The 15,545-nt window shown below is 40.1% G+C and overlaps 1 long non-coding RNA gene across 1 annotated transcript in view, besides 1 other annotated feature; it reads left to right on the top strand.

The window, feature by feature from the left end:
* Positions 1-15,545, top strand: part of LOC107985962 (uncharacterized) — a 243,604-nt gene that overhangs the window by 20,749 nt on the left and 207,310 nt on the right. The gene's annotated exons all lie outside the window — the stretch shown is intronic.
* Positions 423-623: a silencer, noted in NCBI's record as "peak3944 fragment used in MPRA reporter construct". NCBI's record gives its function as "represses an SCP1 promoter by STARR-seq MPRAs in K562 erythroleukemia cells {active_cell/tissue: K562}" and the evidence as "EXISTENCE:reporter gene assay evidence [ECO:0000049][PMID:32103011]".

The following is a 15,545-nucleotide window of genomic DNA, read 5'->3' as shown; positions in this document are numbered from 1 at the left end:
TTTTTTTTTTTTTTTGAGACGGAGTCTCACTCTGTCGCCCAGGCTGGAGTTCAGTGGTACGATCTTGGCTCACTGCAACTTCCACCTCTTGGGTTCAAGCGATTCTCCTCCCTCAGTCGTGAAGCTAATTTAATATTCATTTTAATAATATGTTTAAAACAAAGTTTGAATATTTGAATGACAGACTGTTTAAGGAAAAGCCCAGAGACTTAGGTTCATTAATTAATGTAACCCATAATAAGTCAAATAATATGTTTCTCTTCATTTTCTCTTGTAGCTAAATAGTCATTATGTCACCTATTCTTTGCTAAAGCTTGGATGATCTGTGAAGTACTCTGAGTTCTTTAACAATAATAATTAATAAATAGAATAATAAAAAATAAGGATATAATCATGTACCTAGCACCATGCTAAATGTAATATCTCGCTGAGACCACCTAGTAATCCTATAGGCATATCTATATTATATTCTCATTTTACACAGGAGGAAGCAGAGGCTTAGAGGGTTTAACTATGTAGCCTAATGTCACATCACTGATAAGAAGAGAAGCCCAGAGTTGACCAGGCAGCTATATTTTCAGAGCCCATGCTGTTAACTTCTGCATTTTGCCTTTCTTAATAAAAACTACCATGCAAAATTTCATCCACCATTCTTAAAACATGGTGTTTTGTGATTTAAAGACAGAATTTCCCTGAAAGGAACTCAATCAATCAACTAGGTAAAGAACCCACCTGATTAAATATTGATGAGGCAGTTCAATGACTTCCTCTTGAAGATTTCCTAGAGAAATGAATTCCTGAATGGAATCACTCATGCAGATGTACCAACTTGTCAGTCATGTGGGAGTGCAATGTGACGCCTTTAATCATGACTCCACTTCACTCATATTCTCATAAATGGAACTCTCCCTTTTACAATAACTCTTTAGAGAAGTCTTTATGAAACATTTGGGTCACATTCCTGATAATTATTCAACATTAGATTGCCAAAGAAGCCGTGTTTTAAAGCTGATGAGTGGGAAATGAATCATTAACAACAAAAGGCAAGTTTTCTGTAATAAATGGGGGTTTCCAGACCCAGACTTTATTTATTGTTCAGTTTTAAAAAATTATCTCTGGTCCTAAGGTAATTATAAACTAAAAGGCCTTTTTTAAAGGTAGCCAAAATTCACTCTTTAAAAAACCCCCCAAAACTTTGTTGAGGCATAATTTACATACAATACCAATATAATGTGAAATGAATCTTGAAAATTTTATATAATTGCATAACCACCATGATAATTAAAACATTAACATTTCCATCATCTGCTTCCCAGTAAACACCCAGCCCTGACCCCACCCAGGCAATCAGTGATTTGCTTTCTGCCACTATTGATTGATTTTACCTTTTCTGGAATTTCATGTAAATAGATCATAAAATCAGTATTAATATGTGTTTGACTTCTTTCACTCAGCTTGATGTTTTTGAAAGTCATCTGTGCTATTGCGTGTTTCAGAGGTTTGTTCCTTTATATTTTTCATACCACAATCTATTCACCTGTAGATGAGTATTTGGATTATTTCTAGATTCGTTATTATGAATAGTGTTGGTATGAACATTCATGTACAAGTCTTTATGTTTTCTTTTTCCTTAGTTAAATTCTTAGGAGTGAGATTGCTGGATTGTTTATGTTTAACTTTCTTAAAAATTGCCCAATTGTTTTCCTAAGTGGTTACACCATTGTGTATTCTCATGAGAAATGTGAGTTCCAGGTGCTCCACATCCATGCCAACACTTGACATTGTCAAAATCACTGTATTTTGAAAATATATGTTTTAAAATCTTCAAAGGTTGGTAAAATAAAGTCTCTTTAGAAAGCTAACTTTAAAGGCAAGTATTGGCCACATCAGAAGGCCAACAAATTCATGCTAGTGGAGGAGAGGAAAATGCCTTGCATCTGCTTCTCTGGAACTGAATTAGCTGCATTAGCTGGAGTCCCCTGGCTGAAACCATGAACAGAAGACTCCTGGGAGTGGAGAGGTGATTTCTTCAGTCTCCCCAGAGGCATTATAGAGTCACAGTAATGACTTAAATGATGGCCGTTCCCTCATTTCCAGCACGTTACATGGTATTCAGATGTTTCCTGTGCTTCAGACCTTCACTGTAGATTAGTCCTGTCTTCCAAGCTTAATACTTGCGTGGGAAAGACCAACTGTTTATTCTTCTGGATACAAATGATGCTAGCACAGAGCAGGTGTCCAAAAAGTTCTTCTGCTTGCATGTGCACTTTTCATATGAGTCCCAGATGAATAAGGAATCAAATTCAGCCACCATGGCAGAATTTGGCCTGACACCGATTCTGAGCCACCCAGTCTTGGGGGCACCATTCACCACACTTTGAGTCCAGTCCTATTAAGAATAATAGTGCCAGCTTTTGGAATGGAAAGGCTTAAGTTTAGAGATGGCTTATGTTTGGCCTACTTCATCTGATAGTTAAGCCAACTGTTATTGCTTAAGATGAGCACAGAATGAATCATAGTTTTTAAGAACTAATGTTGGGCTTAAAGAATTTACTTCATATCTGTTGCCTGGGCAGGCAGTAGGGACACAAAGATGAAAGATACACTCTCTCCTCAGAGGAGGAAAATGACTAGTAAGGTGACTACATTGTTGTGTGTGTGCATGTGCTGTAACAGGGCTAAGCACAGGTTTCCTGAGAATACAAAGGAGCGGCACCTATCACAGACTGAACTCCATCCCATGACTAGTGTGCAGCTGCTATGGACTACACGCAGAGCTGGTTGGAGCCATTTGCCTTGACAGAACTTCTAGTATAGTGGGAAGATGGACATAAAGCCAATGAAAACAAGCGAGCAAGTGGGGGCTGTCAGAGAAGGGAGAGACCACAGGGCAAAGGGATTTGTCCTGATTGGGAGGGGCAGAAAGGACTTGAAGAATGAGTGGGAATTAGGGGGAGGGCTCTGACAGAATTGTGGCGAGGTGAGGGAGCAAAGGCAACAGCACAGAGAAAGTACCAGAATCCTGTAGTCATGTGGGGCGTGCCAGGAATGGGAAGACAATCCACAGGACCAGACTCAAAGGTGCTCGTCAGACAACTCATGAGCTGTTCTCTGGCATGGAGGAACAGAGGCAAAACCAGAGAGGGTGAGGCATGGATGGAACAATTGTGGTGCAGGATGTTAACTCGGGCTTTGAAAGAGGAAGAGCTATGGGTATATTTAGGGCTGGAACTGTGTATGAACCAGTTTAAGATAATAAGCCTCCTGATGCTTAAATACACCAGATCTAAATATCCTAATACTCAAACATTTTAGCCAACAAACTTATTTTTTGACATATGCAGAAAGATTTATTTTAATGTCTTAAGTAATCTTATTGATAGTAGATTAGTATTTTTATTCTGAGTCTGTTGTGTGTGTACTATAAGATAAAACAAATGACTAATTGTGGGCAATTCTAATTATTTCATTCCCTGTATTCTTTTTTAAAAATTTTAAATTTAAATTTTAGATTCAGAGGGTACATGTGGGGGTTTGTTACAAGGGTATATTGTGTGATGCTGAGGTTTGGGTTTCCACTGATCCTGTCCCCAGAGAGTGAACATGGTACCCCACAGGAAGTTTTGTATGCCTTACCCCTCCCTCCCTCCCTCCTTTTGGAGTCCCCAGTGTCTGTGTTCCCATCTTTATGTTTGGGTGTGCCTAGGGTTTAGCTCTCACTTATAAGTGAGAACATGGGATATTTTGTTTCTATTTTATGCATTAATTTGCTTAGGATGATGGCCTCCAGCTGCCTCGTGTTGCTGCAAAGGACATGATTTGGTTCTTTTTCATGTTAGCCAGTAAACTTACCATTTTGCTTGAAATCTTTAAGTATAGTCCCCTTTTCTCTATATCACGTAGGTCTCCATTTCTCCTAACACTATTTTCCATGAGCAGAACCGGCCATAGCAACTAGTAATCTTTTTTTTTTTTTTTTTTTTTTTTTTTTTTTTTTTTTTTTTTGAGAGGAAGTTTCGCTCTTGTTTCCCAGGCTGGAGTGCAACGGCACGATCTCGGCTCACAGCAACCTCCACCTCCCAGGTTCAAGCCATTCTCCTGCCTCAGCCTCCGGAGTAGCTGGGATTACATGCATGTGCGACCACGCTGGGCTAATTTTGTATTTTTAGTGGAGACGGGGTTTCTCCATGTTGGTCAGGCTGGTCTCGAACTCCGGACCTCAGGTGATCCGCCCGCCTCAGCCTCCCAAAGTGCTGGGATTACAGGCATGAGCCACCGCGCCCGGCCGCAACTTGTAATCTTTAAACACCAGCCTGGGAGGGTCATTGTGAAACTGTGAAGGTACGCGCCCCTCTTAGAGATAAGACCACAGAGACTGGTGACAGAGCTGTCTTTGAACCCAGAGCTCTGGCCATTCTTCTTCCAGTCTCTCCTGCAGGTACATTTTCTCCAACAAATGGCGTTATACAATTTCCCAGAATCTGGAATTTTTTGACCTGATTATTTTGGATTAAGCTTTCATGTTCTTCACAACTGGACACATTTTCTAAACTCCCTCTATTTCAAAAACTCTAAGTGGTGTTTTCTTTTTCTTTTTTTTTTTTTTTTTTTTTTTGAGAGGAAGTTTCGCTCTTGTTTCCCAGGCTGGAGTGCAACGGCACGATCTCGGCTCACAGCAACCTCCACCTCCCAGGTTCAAGCCATTCTCCTGCCTCAGCCTCCGGAGTAGCTGGGATTACATGCATGTGCGACCACGCTGGGCTAATTTTGTATTTTTAGTGGAGACGGGGTTTCTCCATGTTGGTCAGGCTGGTCTCGAACTCCGGACCTCAGGTGATCCGCCCGCCTCAGCCTCCCAAAGTGCTGGGATTACAGGCATGAGCCACCGCGCCCGGCCGCAACTTGTAATCTTTAAACACCAGCCTGGGAGGGTCATTGTGAAACTGTGAAGGTACGCGCCCCTCTTAGAGATAAGACCACAGAGACTGGTGACAGAGCTGTCTTTGAACCCAGAGCTCTGGCCATTCTTCTTCCAGTCTCTCCTGCAGGTACATTTTCTCCAACAAATGGCGTTATACAATTTCCCAGAATCTGGAATTTTTTGACCTGATTATTTTGGATTAAGCTTTCATGTTCTTCACAACTGGACACATTTTCTAAACTCCCTCTATTTCAAAAACTCTAAGTGGTGTTTTCTTTTTCTTTTTTTTTTTTTTTTTTTTGACTAGGATGTAGAATGGTGCCTGGAACACAGTGTGCATTCACTGGATATGTCTTGTATGAATGAATGGAAACATTGGCAGTGAACAGTGAATACTAAGAGATTTGGTCTGATTTTGCCTTCTTATGCAACATCACCTCTGCTTCCTACAAGCCCTTCCTCCCGGTTTGAACTTCCAATGTTGGCAAAGCAGTCCTCACAAATTTAGTTATTGACTCTGCTAACGTAACCTAAATGTTAGTCCCTGGCACCCTCCATGACCACCCCTCCTTTTTGCATTTTGGAAACAATCAATGGAAGGAAATGCTCCTTGCTTTTCAAACCTACAAATTTGGTTGCTTTAAGGGCAGAATAAAATTTTTTCCTATGTCTTCTCTCCTGATTTAAACCTATATGATGAAAAAGTGGTAGCTTTATTTATAATGTGCTACTAATCTTGTATCACTTTACAACCATCAATTCTTATCACCTCCTGCTGGAGGAGACAGTGTAGATTTATATAATCCACAGGCAGATAGGCAATACTTTCACATTTGTCTGAGCTATGAAATTTGCTCTCTGGAAAAGTGTTTGTTAATGAAAGGAAGGCAAATTACATTTTATATATCAAAAGTGTCATTGTCCTTATTCAAAGATGCTGCTGCAGCCACCAGCTAGAGAATGGAGTTGGGAACAGTTGTCTCCAGAGTAGCTAGAGGGCAAAGAACACATGTTTTGAATGTTTCTTTAGCCCATTTGAAAGTCAAACTGGAGAGAGGACATCTCAATGTTTATATCATTTTCCTTTAAGACTCAGAAGTCTCAAGTAGGCCCTTGAGAAGGTGATGGCAAGCTAGCTTGTTCTTCCAGACTTCTGACTAATATGATTACAAATACGGGGTGATATCAATCATCCAGAGTATGGCAGTGTGGGAAAAAGAACTTTGGACTGTGACCAGGATTGAGGTAGTTTGGATTCCAGGTTTAAACATTTCTGTGGCCTTGGGAAAGCCACTCAACTCCTCTGCATCCAGCTTCATCTTCTTCTTCTGCAAAATGGAAAGGTCAACGTGCATCTTCCTGTCCTGCCTCATGTAACTATTGTGAAGTTTCAAAGGAATGTGTCAAAGTGCTTTGACAAGACAAGACACTATCTAAATGCAAAGAAGCATTTTGCAATGTGTTGAACTTTTGACGGGTGAGGCAAGGAGAATCCAAGGTGACAGTTCTCAGAGCAGAGCTGTCCCAGACCCCAGCACTCCACATGTGTCTGAATTGATCCCAAACTAATGACCAGGGACAAAAAGAAGTGTCTCATGCAGAAATGAGACAGTCTTCACCCTTCCTGGCCCTAACTACCAGGTAAAAAGGACTTTCTTCATTCTGACTGCACTCTCTACCTCTTTTAGGGTGACCACACACCCAGCTTACACCTGTTATACCCCTTTCACTGTTAATGGTGTCCTGATTAGGATGATAAATCTTATGGTCACTGTATTTGCTCGGTACCTGACCACATAGCTTTGTGGTAAATGCTGAGGAAACTTGAATGGCACAGGGTTTTCAAGACGGAGGCTCAGTAGACAGCTACAATCTGGGCCAGGAGCCCCCTGTTAGCACTTGTTCTTTCTCTGCTGTCTGATAACTAGTCATTGTCAAGCAATCATTCTTCATTCTTTTGTTTAGAAGTCTTCCTGCTCATGGAAGTGGGAAGGAAATATCTGTTTCCTGAGAGCCTATGTTCAAAGGCCAACATGTTGGCCGTGTAATTTAATTAGTAAGTTTGAATGAACTTGAGGAAGGCAGAATAATGACTGCCCTCCTCCAAGATGTGCATATCTTAATCCGTGGAACTGTTACCTACATGGCAAAAGAAATTTAGGTTTCAGATGGCATTAAGATTGCTAATTCTCTGACTTTAAAATAGAGAAGGTATGTTGGCTTATCAGGGTAGGTCGAATGAAATCACAAGTTTCCAAATAATTAGAAGAGGATATCTGGGTGCTGAGATGTAAGAGCCTGACCTGCTTTTGCTGGTTTTGAAGAAAGAGAAAGGGACCACAAGTAGAGGAATGCAAGTTGCAGGAATCCAAAGGCTGGAAAATGTAAAGAAACAGATTATCCCTTACAATCTCCAGAAAGGAACACACCTGGTCCAGTCCACACACTGATTTCCAGTGCAGTGAGACCTACGCTGGGCTTCTGATTTATTAACTATAAGGTAATAAGTTCATGTTGTTTTAATCCACTAAATTGTGATTTAATAGCAATACTGGAAAATTAATAACAGAAAACTAATTATAATAATAGCAAAACTAATACAGCCCTTACTAATCAACACATATCTAGTGGATATTTGTCATGTGACCAGTCCTATACTGAATGCCGTGGGGAAATACCAGGGAATAGAATATGCAGAACCTGTCCACAGGGAGCATACTAAGATTAATGCATGCCGAACATTTAGAAAGCAATCAGTGAGAGTGCTAATTGAGTGCTAAGTATACTGGGCAGAAGAATATGAGAAAAGAGATTTTAGGGGGCTGTATTTGAACAAGTGGGTAACGGGTGAGAATGATGAATAGATGGAAAACTTCAGGAGTTTTTAATTGATAATGATCTCAGACTTCCAAGGAACTTTCAACTTATTTATTTTTATCTTTTATTATTTTAGTGATGGGATCTTGCTATGTTGCTCAGGCTGGTCTTAAACTCCTAGCCTCACACAATCCTCTGGCCTCGGCCCTCCAGGTTGCTGGGATTACAAGCATGAGCCACCATGCATGGTTCTAAAGAAACTTTTTAGTCAATGGCCTTTGTTGCTACGCAGTGGAATTCTACATGGCACACTGAATAAACATTAGAATTCCTCCAGGCACAGTCTTAGGCCCTTTTCTTTTTCCACTCTGTTGTCTCCTTGAGTGATCTCATTTATTAGCATGTGCATGCTGTAGTGGGCTGAAACATACGTTTATATCCTAACCCCTAGAACCTATAAATGAGACCTTATTTGGGAAAAAGTTCTTTGCAGATGTAATTTAATGTTAAGGATCTCAAGGTGAGACCATTCTGGATTATACAGATGGGCCCTAAACTCAACGAAGAGTGTCTTGTGAGAGACAAACAGAGAAACACAGACAGAAGAGAAGGCACACAAAAGAGGGGAAGGTGATGTGATGACAGAGGCAGAGATTGGAGTGATGCAGCTACAGGCCAAGGAAGGCCAAGGATTGCTGGCAGCCACCACAAGCTGGAAGAAGCAATAGTGTTCCTGAAGACTTTTAGCCTCAAAAATGATTAGACTATAAATTTCTGTTGTTTTAAGTCACCATATTTGTGGTAATTTGTTATGTCAGCCCTAAGAAACTAATGCATTTAGCCTCAGTGGCCATCCCCACATGGACGTCTCATGATTTATATTTCTAGCTCAGAGAGCCCTGAGAGCTCCACGCCAGTTTATCCAATGCCTACCTAATATTTCTAGATATTCTGGAGCCACTTCAAATCTACCATGTCTCAAACTCTTTACCATCCCCAAACCTGGTCCTTTTCCAGTCTCCTCAAGGATACTAAATAACACCACCAGCCATTCAGTTATGCACAACAGAAGCATAGGAGTCATTCCTGACACTTCTCTTTCCTATCACCTTGGATGTCCACTCACTAAGTCCTATTGATTTTATCTCTAAATATTTCTCAAATCTGTCTACTTCTCCCTTAATTTCCAACATCACCACCTTTGTCCTTGCAATTGCCTCTTAACTCATCTCTCCAGAATGAGTCCTGGCTGCCCTAAATCTCTTTTCTACCCTGTAGCTATTGCAATCTTTTCTAAATGTAGCTATTGCGATCATTTCCAAATGCAGCCTTGGGTATGTTACTCTGCTTAGAATCACATTCTGCTTAGAATGCTTCAGTGATTCCTATTGCACATAAGATAAATGCAAAACCCTTAATATGGACTAAGAAGTAAGGTCCAATCTCAAACTCACCATACTCCTTTCTGAGGTTTCCTCTTCAGTCAGACTGGCCTCCTCTAAGTTCCCTCCTTCCACAGGGCCTTTGCACATGCTATTCTCCCTGTTAGAAATGTTCTTTCCTCCCTTCTTTGCCTAGATAACTCTCATTTATGTTTCTGATTCCAGTATTATTTTCTCAGGTGAGCTTTTTTTTGACTTTTTAAACTAGGTGGAGTCTTCTTTTGCAGTATTCTGTATCTCTTCTTCATAGCTCTTACCCAAATTGTGATTTCACATTTTTTGTTATTATTTTATTAATGGATGCACTCTTTTACTAGACTAGATGCTTTAATGAGAATAGGAAAATTTTGTCCCAGGGCCTAGCATCATGCATAATAGATGCTCAATAAATGTTATTTTGCATAAAATTAATGAATGAAATAAGTATTGTGTAATGTTATACTCCAAGAAGCCTCTCCTATCATATACCTTGCCATGTAGGGGTTATAGTAGGGGCTAAAAATGTGGTCACCAGGAAAGAGGAATGGTACTATACCACCTTTTATGAAAAAAAAAATCAAAAACTCACTAGCATCATCTGTCTTCTAATTTGTCTGAATATTACAAACTGTCTCTCGGACCTGGTTTTGGAGGAATAAATATATAAAGTAAATTTTCAGGAAGCATGTTTTGTGTTTTATTTTTTAATTTTGGAGGGTTTTGCTAGTAGTTTTACTGTTTTCCAAACAAGCACACTACTACAGATAAGCTGTTCCCCACTAGGCATCATTCTGATGAAGGGCATTCAAGCTGGGGACTCCTGAGGATAAGTATACAATACTTGTCATAAAAGCTAAAAATATGTGTTAATGGGGCAAAGGCAAAAACATTAATCTTTGGCTTGTGAGAAGGGAGCACGGTATTAGGAAAAATAGGCTGATTTTCAAAACCTAGACCATGGTAGCTATAAAATTAACATGAAAACAATTTATCATTGCCTGAAAACAAGTGAAGAGCCCCTGAAATGTGCTTTGCTTCTCCTCCAACTCTCTAGGGAACTTTTTCCATGTCAGGTGAAGGTTTTGAAGAGTACTTTAATTAACTTGTATCAAAGAGATGGGGTATATAAGAAAGAACCATGTAAAGATTTCTTTAATTAGTGAATTTCATCAGGGCTCTTCCACTGTCTATCAGTAAAGTAGCTGGTGGGCTGCCGGGGTCCTTGGTGGTACATTCAGTCAATAAGCTATTCATGACTTCAGCAAGTAGCTAGGTTTTTAAACCAATGGGAATTTGGTGGACAATTTCCCTTTGCTACCTTTAGCTACACGGCCAGAATCTATAAACTGTTCTCTTTCTTAGAAAGAAAATGCTGAGGTGAGCAAGTCACCAGCAGGGTCTGCGGTGGACACATTAATTGCTCTGTGGCAGAAGCATGGGCACATATTTACTTTTAAATGTAACTAAAGAGAGGCTGTGGGGGCAGGGAGTGGGACTCCATTACCATTGTGTGTGATGTGTACAGTGTTAATCCAAAATCAGTTTTTTTCATGTAATTTTGCAGAATCACATGCATTTCATTGTCTTTCCAGAGTGGCAATAAAGCCTAGAAAAAGAACTCTCTCCCTCAGTAAATCAAAAGTTAGCAGACAAAAGGTCAAAATAGCCAAAGCCACAAGAACATTAACACTTTGGATATAAAGATTTCCTGAAAAACAAATGCTCACTCTCACTTTGGAGCAGGCAGACGCCTTATCTTTGTGAGTTTACAAAATGGAGCCAAACTGTACCCCTAGCCACTTTAGCTAAACCAAGGCCTGGATCTTTCAGCAGCCCACAGTCATTAAAACTCTTAGAAAGCCTCCCAGGAGGCGATGTGCTTGCTTAAGTATATGCTGTAAAAGGTCCCAGAGATTTACAAGGGACTGCTCCACGCTAAACCAGGCACCATCTGATAAACAAGCAATTTTAGCTGCAGGCTAAATGATGCTCTTTGAGGCTTTGATTTACAATGCTGAAGATGATATATTTGTGGTTTGAGGATAGGTTCTGCTATGGGCTTGCTGTGATTACTCACCCATGAGCAGAATTCAGGGCTCAAGTCTTCAACTTGGAGGTCAGAAAATTGCCAGTGGAATGAAAGAGAGTTGATAAGGTTAATTGAGATGCTAAATAGTTATAAAAAAAACTTATTAAGTCTGTGGTTTCAAACTCTTCTTAAGCTTTCTGGGGACCACAGTTTTTGTTAGTTTGCTTAAATCCCAGAGATATAAAAATAATCTGCAAAATTGATCTGGTGGTCTCATTTTACTTTCATTATATTTAAAAAGCAAAAACAAGCTTAGTTTATTATTTGCTGACATTTAAAAATAAGAAAAAAATGTTCAATGTAGCATTTATGTTATTGCTCGATAGCTAAGGAATCTGAAGGCAACTTTGAAGCAAATCAAATCTCCTGTAAGAACACCGAGGAATAGACTTACAATACTCGAACCTGAATTAAGAACTGTGGGAGTGCTTTTAAAACTCATGGTTCCAAGAGATGATTTGGCAAACTCCTTTGCCAAGAAGTTTTGTATTTAATAAATATTTGAGTGTCCACTAATATTGGCACTGTACTAGAACAAAGATAAATAAAATGTCGTCTCTCTCCTTTGGAAGTTTACAGTCCAGTGGACAAAACCATAGATAATTTCAGTAAAATGTGAGATGTGTTAGAGCTCAGTAGAATGGCGTGGGAGGATAGAGAAGACAAATTAACTGCTTGGACTTAAAGGACAGGAGAGGCCTCCCTTGGTACTCTTCTTCCTGTCCCAGGACTGGCCAGGCAGCCACACACACGAAACAATGGAAAGAAGCATTTCTGGCAGCCCTGGTATTCCAGCCTGCAGCACCTCCAGAGCTGTGACCGAATGTTCCTTTACTGAAAAGACCTCAGACCACTGGAGTTCTGGTTCGGGTGACACTAGGCAGATTCAGAAGTTGCAGACACAACTTACTAGTGAGGGAATCAGTGGCTAACTATATATAGGCCAGCAGGGACAACCCTGAGGTCAGAGCTGGCTCTAGGCTAGGATGTAGGTGCCAACCTTGGCTTTTTGGTCCACCCCTTCTTTGCAGGGTCCAGGGAACACGATCTGTCTCCTCTATTCTCAGGAAAGGACCTGATGAAGTTAAGTGCATTGTGGCACACATGTCAGACACTGGGAATGATGCATTGCTTTTCCCAGGCAACTTATAGTTTTAGAGGGTCTGAAGCTCTAAGCCCATGGGACTTTGGTGACGCAATAGAGTAACATGGAACTGGTTTCCGGGAAGATTAGAAGTAAAGGATGTGGTTCTCTCTGCCAATCAACCTTCTCTGTGCACTATTTCCCTATAGATAACACAGCCCTGGCTGGCTTAAAGGTTAACGAGGATGACTCACATTTATTGAGTGCTTACTATGTGCCAGATACTATTTAGAGGTTTATGTGCATTAAATTGTTTAATCTTCAGAACAACCCCACAAAATAGGTACTTTGTAATCTCTATTTTACATACTAGGAAACTGTTAAATTTGCTCATGTTCTCATAGCTAATGAGGTCACCAATCCAGGCCGTTAAATTCAGCTGCATCCCATGACAGTGAATGCAACAGCTAATTATGCAGACCAGGGCCTCTAGCTTGGAAATGGAGGCCATTCCTGCCCTGGCTCTCCACTAGTTTAATCCTTTAGATTGGCATGTCAGGTAGACACCTGAATCCTCCCTTTTTATTCGTCCCTCACCCTGGTCACCACGGGGCTTCTCTAAGCCTCAGTTTCACAGTCTGGAAAAAAATGCCTCCTCTTTCTCTCTCTCAAATAATTGGAACATCAGCTCTATAATACCAGTAAAGCATTTAAGACTATGCAAATGAAGAATATTACAGAGACACAAGGTGATGGTATTTTATAGCAGCCCATTAAGACATATTACTGTAAACATAGACACTAAGTTGCATCTTTTGCCAGACCTTTCCCTAAATTTTAGCAAAGAATTACATGTGCCTTTCAAATCTACCCAAGCTAATTGTCTTTATGAACATAGACCTCTGCATAAGCTGGACTGGGCTCTAGTAAATTCCCCTGGCCAAAATATTTTTCAAGTATTATAGTGTAATTTACTGTATCATGTCCAGTCGCAGCCTAATAATGCACAACTCCCAGGAGCCAAGTATATTTCATGAAGCTTACAATTACTTTTATAAAAGTTGCAGTAAAGTATAATGATTTTTAATGGCATCAATGATACCATTGTATATATCGGTTTCAGTTTTGAAGTAGAGTTAAGTTCAAAGACCCAAGGGGACCATTCTCCTCTTGATGCACTTGTGCTACTCCCATTAATGCTAATGGGACAGACAAATGCTGCTCCAGAGGAGAATATATCTGCCCTTAGGATGGTAACAGGTTTTAATTAGTAATGCTTTGAATCACACAAAAGCAGCTTGCCCTCTGTAAACAGCAAGTGTTCACTGAGATGAGAGTATGGATCACAGCCTGGCTTACTCATGTGCAATCTTCAAATCTGAGATTTGTAAATGGTGGAGACACAAGGCCCTCCTCACCTGAAAATGAGAAAGAGAGCTCAGTCTGGGAGCTTTGTTGAAACAAAATCACAGTACTCAGAACGAAAGCATTGTTCCTTAAATTTCTGAGTTGCTTGAGTGCCAAGTAGATCTCTGGAGTAGGTTATTACAGTGACTTCAGCCTTGAAAGAGAATCGCAGTGAACCTGATACTGTGGAAGTGAAGCCTGATAGCGTAGGGTCCACCTCTGAGCACACGCTTTAAACATAAAAGGAGAAAGTCTAGAGAGGTTACCCAGCTGGAGGCTCAGTGGTGCTTAGTGATAGAGCTTGGGCAACAAAGCACTTTGTTGAGAAGTGGTTCTTGGCTAAACACTGGATGGAGAAATGGAATAGAAAGGAGCTAGTGTTTCAGCACGCTTGCTGCTCTGTGTCACTATCTAGGGAGGTGGCTTCAACATGAGCTTCAGAGTGAGGGGGCAGAGGCCAGTTTCTACCTTCTCTATGTGCATCTGCAGCTTGCTTTCAGAAAACCTATCTGTGAACATACAGTTTTTAGGTGCAATTATTCACTCCGGATAATACACCACACATTTCAGTTAGAGTATTTAAGATAACATGTTCATCATATAATTTTTGGAAATAAATCTCTCAAAAAGTGAGATAAATTTATATTTATCACCAAGTTTAGGATTTGTAAATCTAAGCCCAAATGATCATAAATTTTATGTTAACATTTAATGTATCAATCTGGCTTGATCTCTGAACAAACAGATTTGATTAGGATATCAATAATACAGAAGTATGTGTATGTTTTTATTGTTGTTGTTTTAAGCTTTTTAGATATACAGAGGTTAGGAAAAACCAGTGTATCTTGTGCTTGACTCTAATGACTGGAAGAAGAAACTTAGTATTGGAAAGACCAACTTAGTTTGGAGGAAACTCTGATTAGAATTACATTCTATTTGGTTATAAGCACATTTTTTTCCATATAAATATTTGGGGAAAACTTTGCTTTAAAAAGACTTTGAAGGAATTCGATTATGGAACAGGATACTTTATGCCATTTCACAAAGAAAAATATAGATATGTAAGGTAAGCAGCTTGTTTCCACTTGCTGAGCTGCTCTGTCTTACTTTCCCTCCTGTGGCTCTGAAAACATCCCATTTATATAAGTATTAAGTTTATAGTAGAAGAAATGTCATAGGCACATTCTCAAGCTCATGAATTCATTATCACATACATTCAGTCTGGAGCTATAAGGTGTAATGTCCTTTTCTCTGAGGTAGCCCCAAAAGATACACTCCACTATCAGGATGATTTCATCTAGACCCAATTTCCCCAGATCTTTGAATGTTGCAGATGACTACCTCTGTTCTCTCCACATTTCCCCTTTTGACTTACTAGGGACTGTGAATGTTATTAACTTTGAAGTGTCTATTTGCATCTCTCTACAAGCTGTCCCCCCTCCTTCCTTCTTCAACAGAGGTTGGGACTTCTAAGTTTTTACCTTGGAAACAGCCTGTTAAAGTATTTTCAAGCTTAAAAACAATCCCACTACACAACACATGAGGAGAGGCTGAATGCAAATATCAGTCTTCTTTCTGCCCAAACAGCAGCAAATCTCTTAATGCAAACTTCTTGGCTGCATTTCAGTATGGTTGTATCATTTACACTACCTCGGAGTTTCCCTCAACCCCCAGTTTTGCTGTCTTGAGGCTCTGTGCTTTTCCACTTCAAATGTTCTTCATCAGCAGAACAACAAGTTCTTAGAGAAAATTAGGAACACATCTATGAAAACACTCTGGGTTACACAATTGTGGGGAGAAGCACCG

This window comes from Homo sapiens, chromosome 2 (assembly GCF_000001405.40).
Source record: "Homo sapiens chromosome 2, GRCh38.p14 Primary Assembly".
Lineage (NCBI taxonomy): Eukaryota > Metazoa > Chordata > Mammalia > Primates > Hominidae > Homo > Homo sapiens.
The sequence above is the reverse complement of the archived record's forward strand: the minus strand, read 5'-3'. Positions and strand labels throughout refer to the sequence as shown.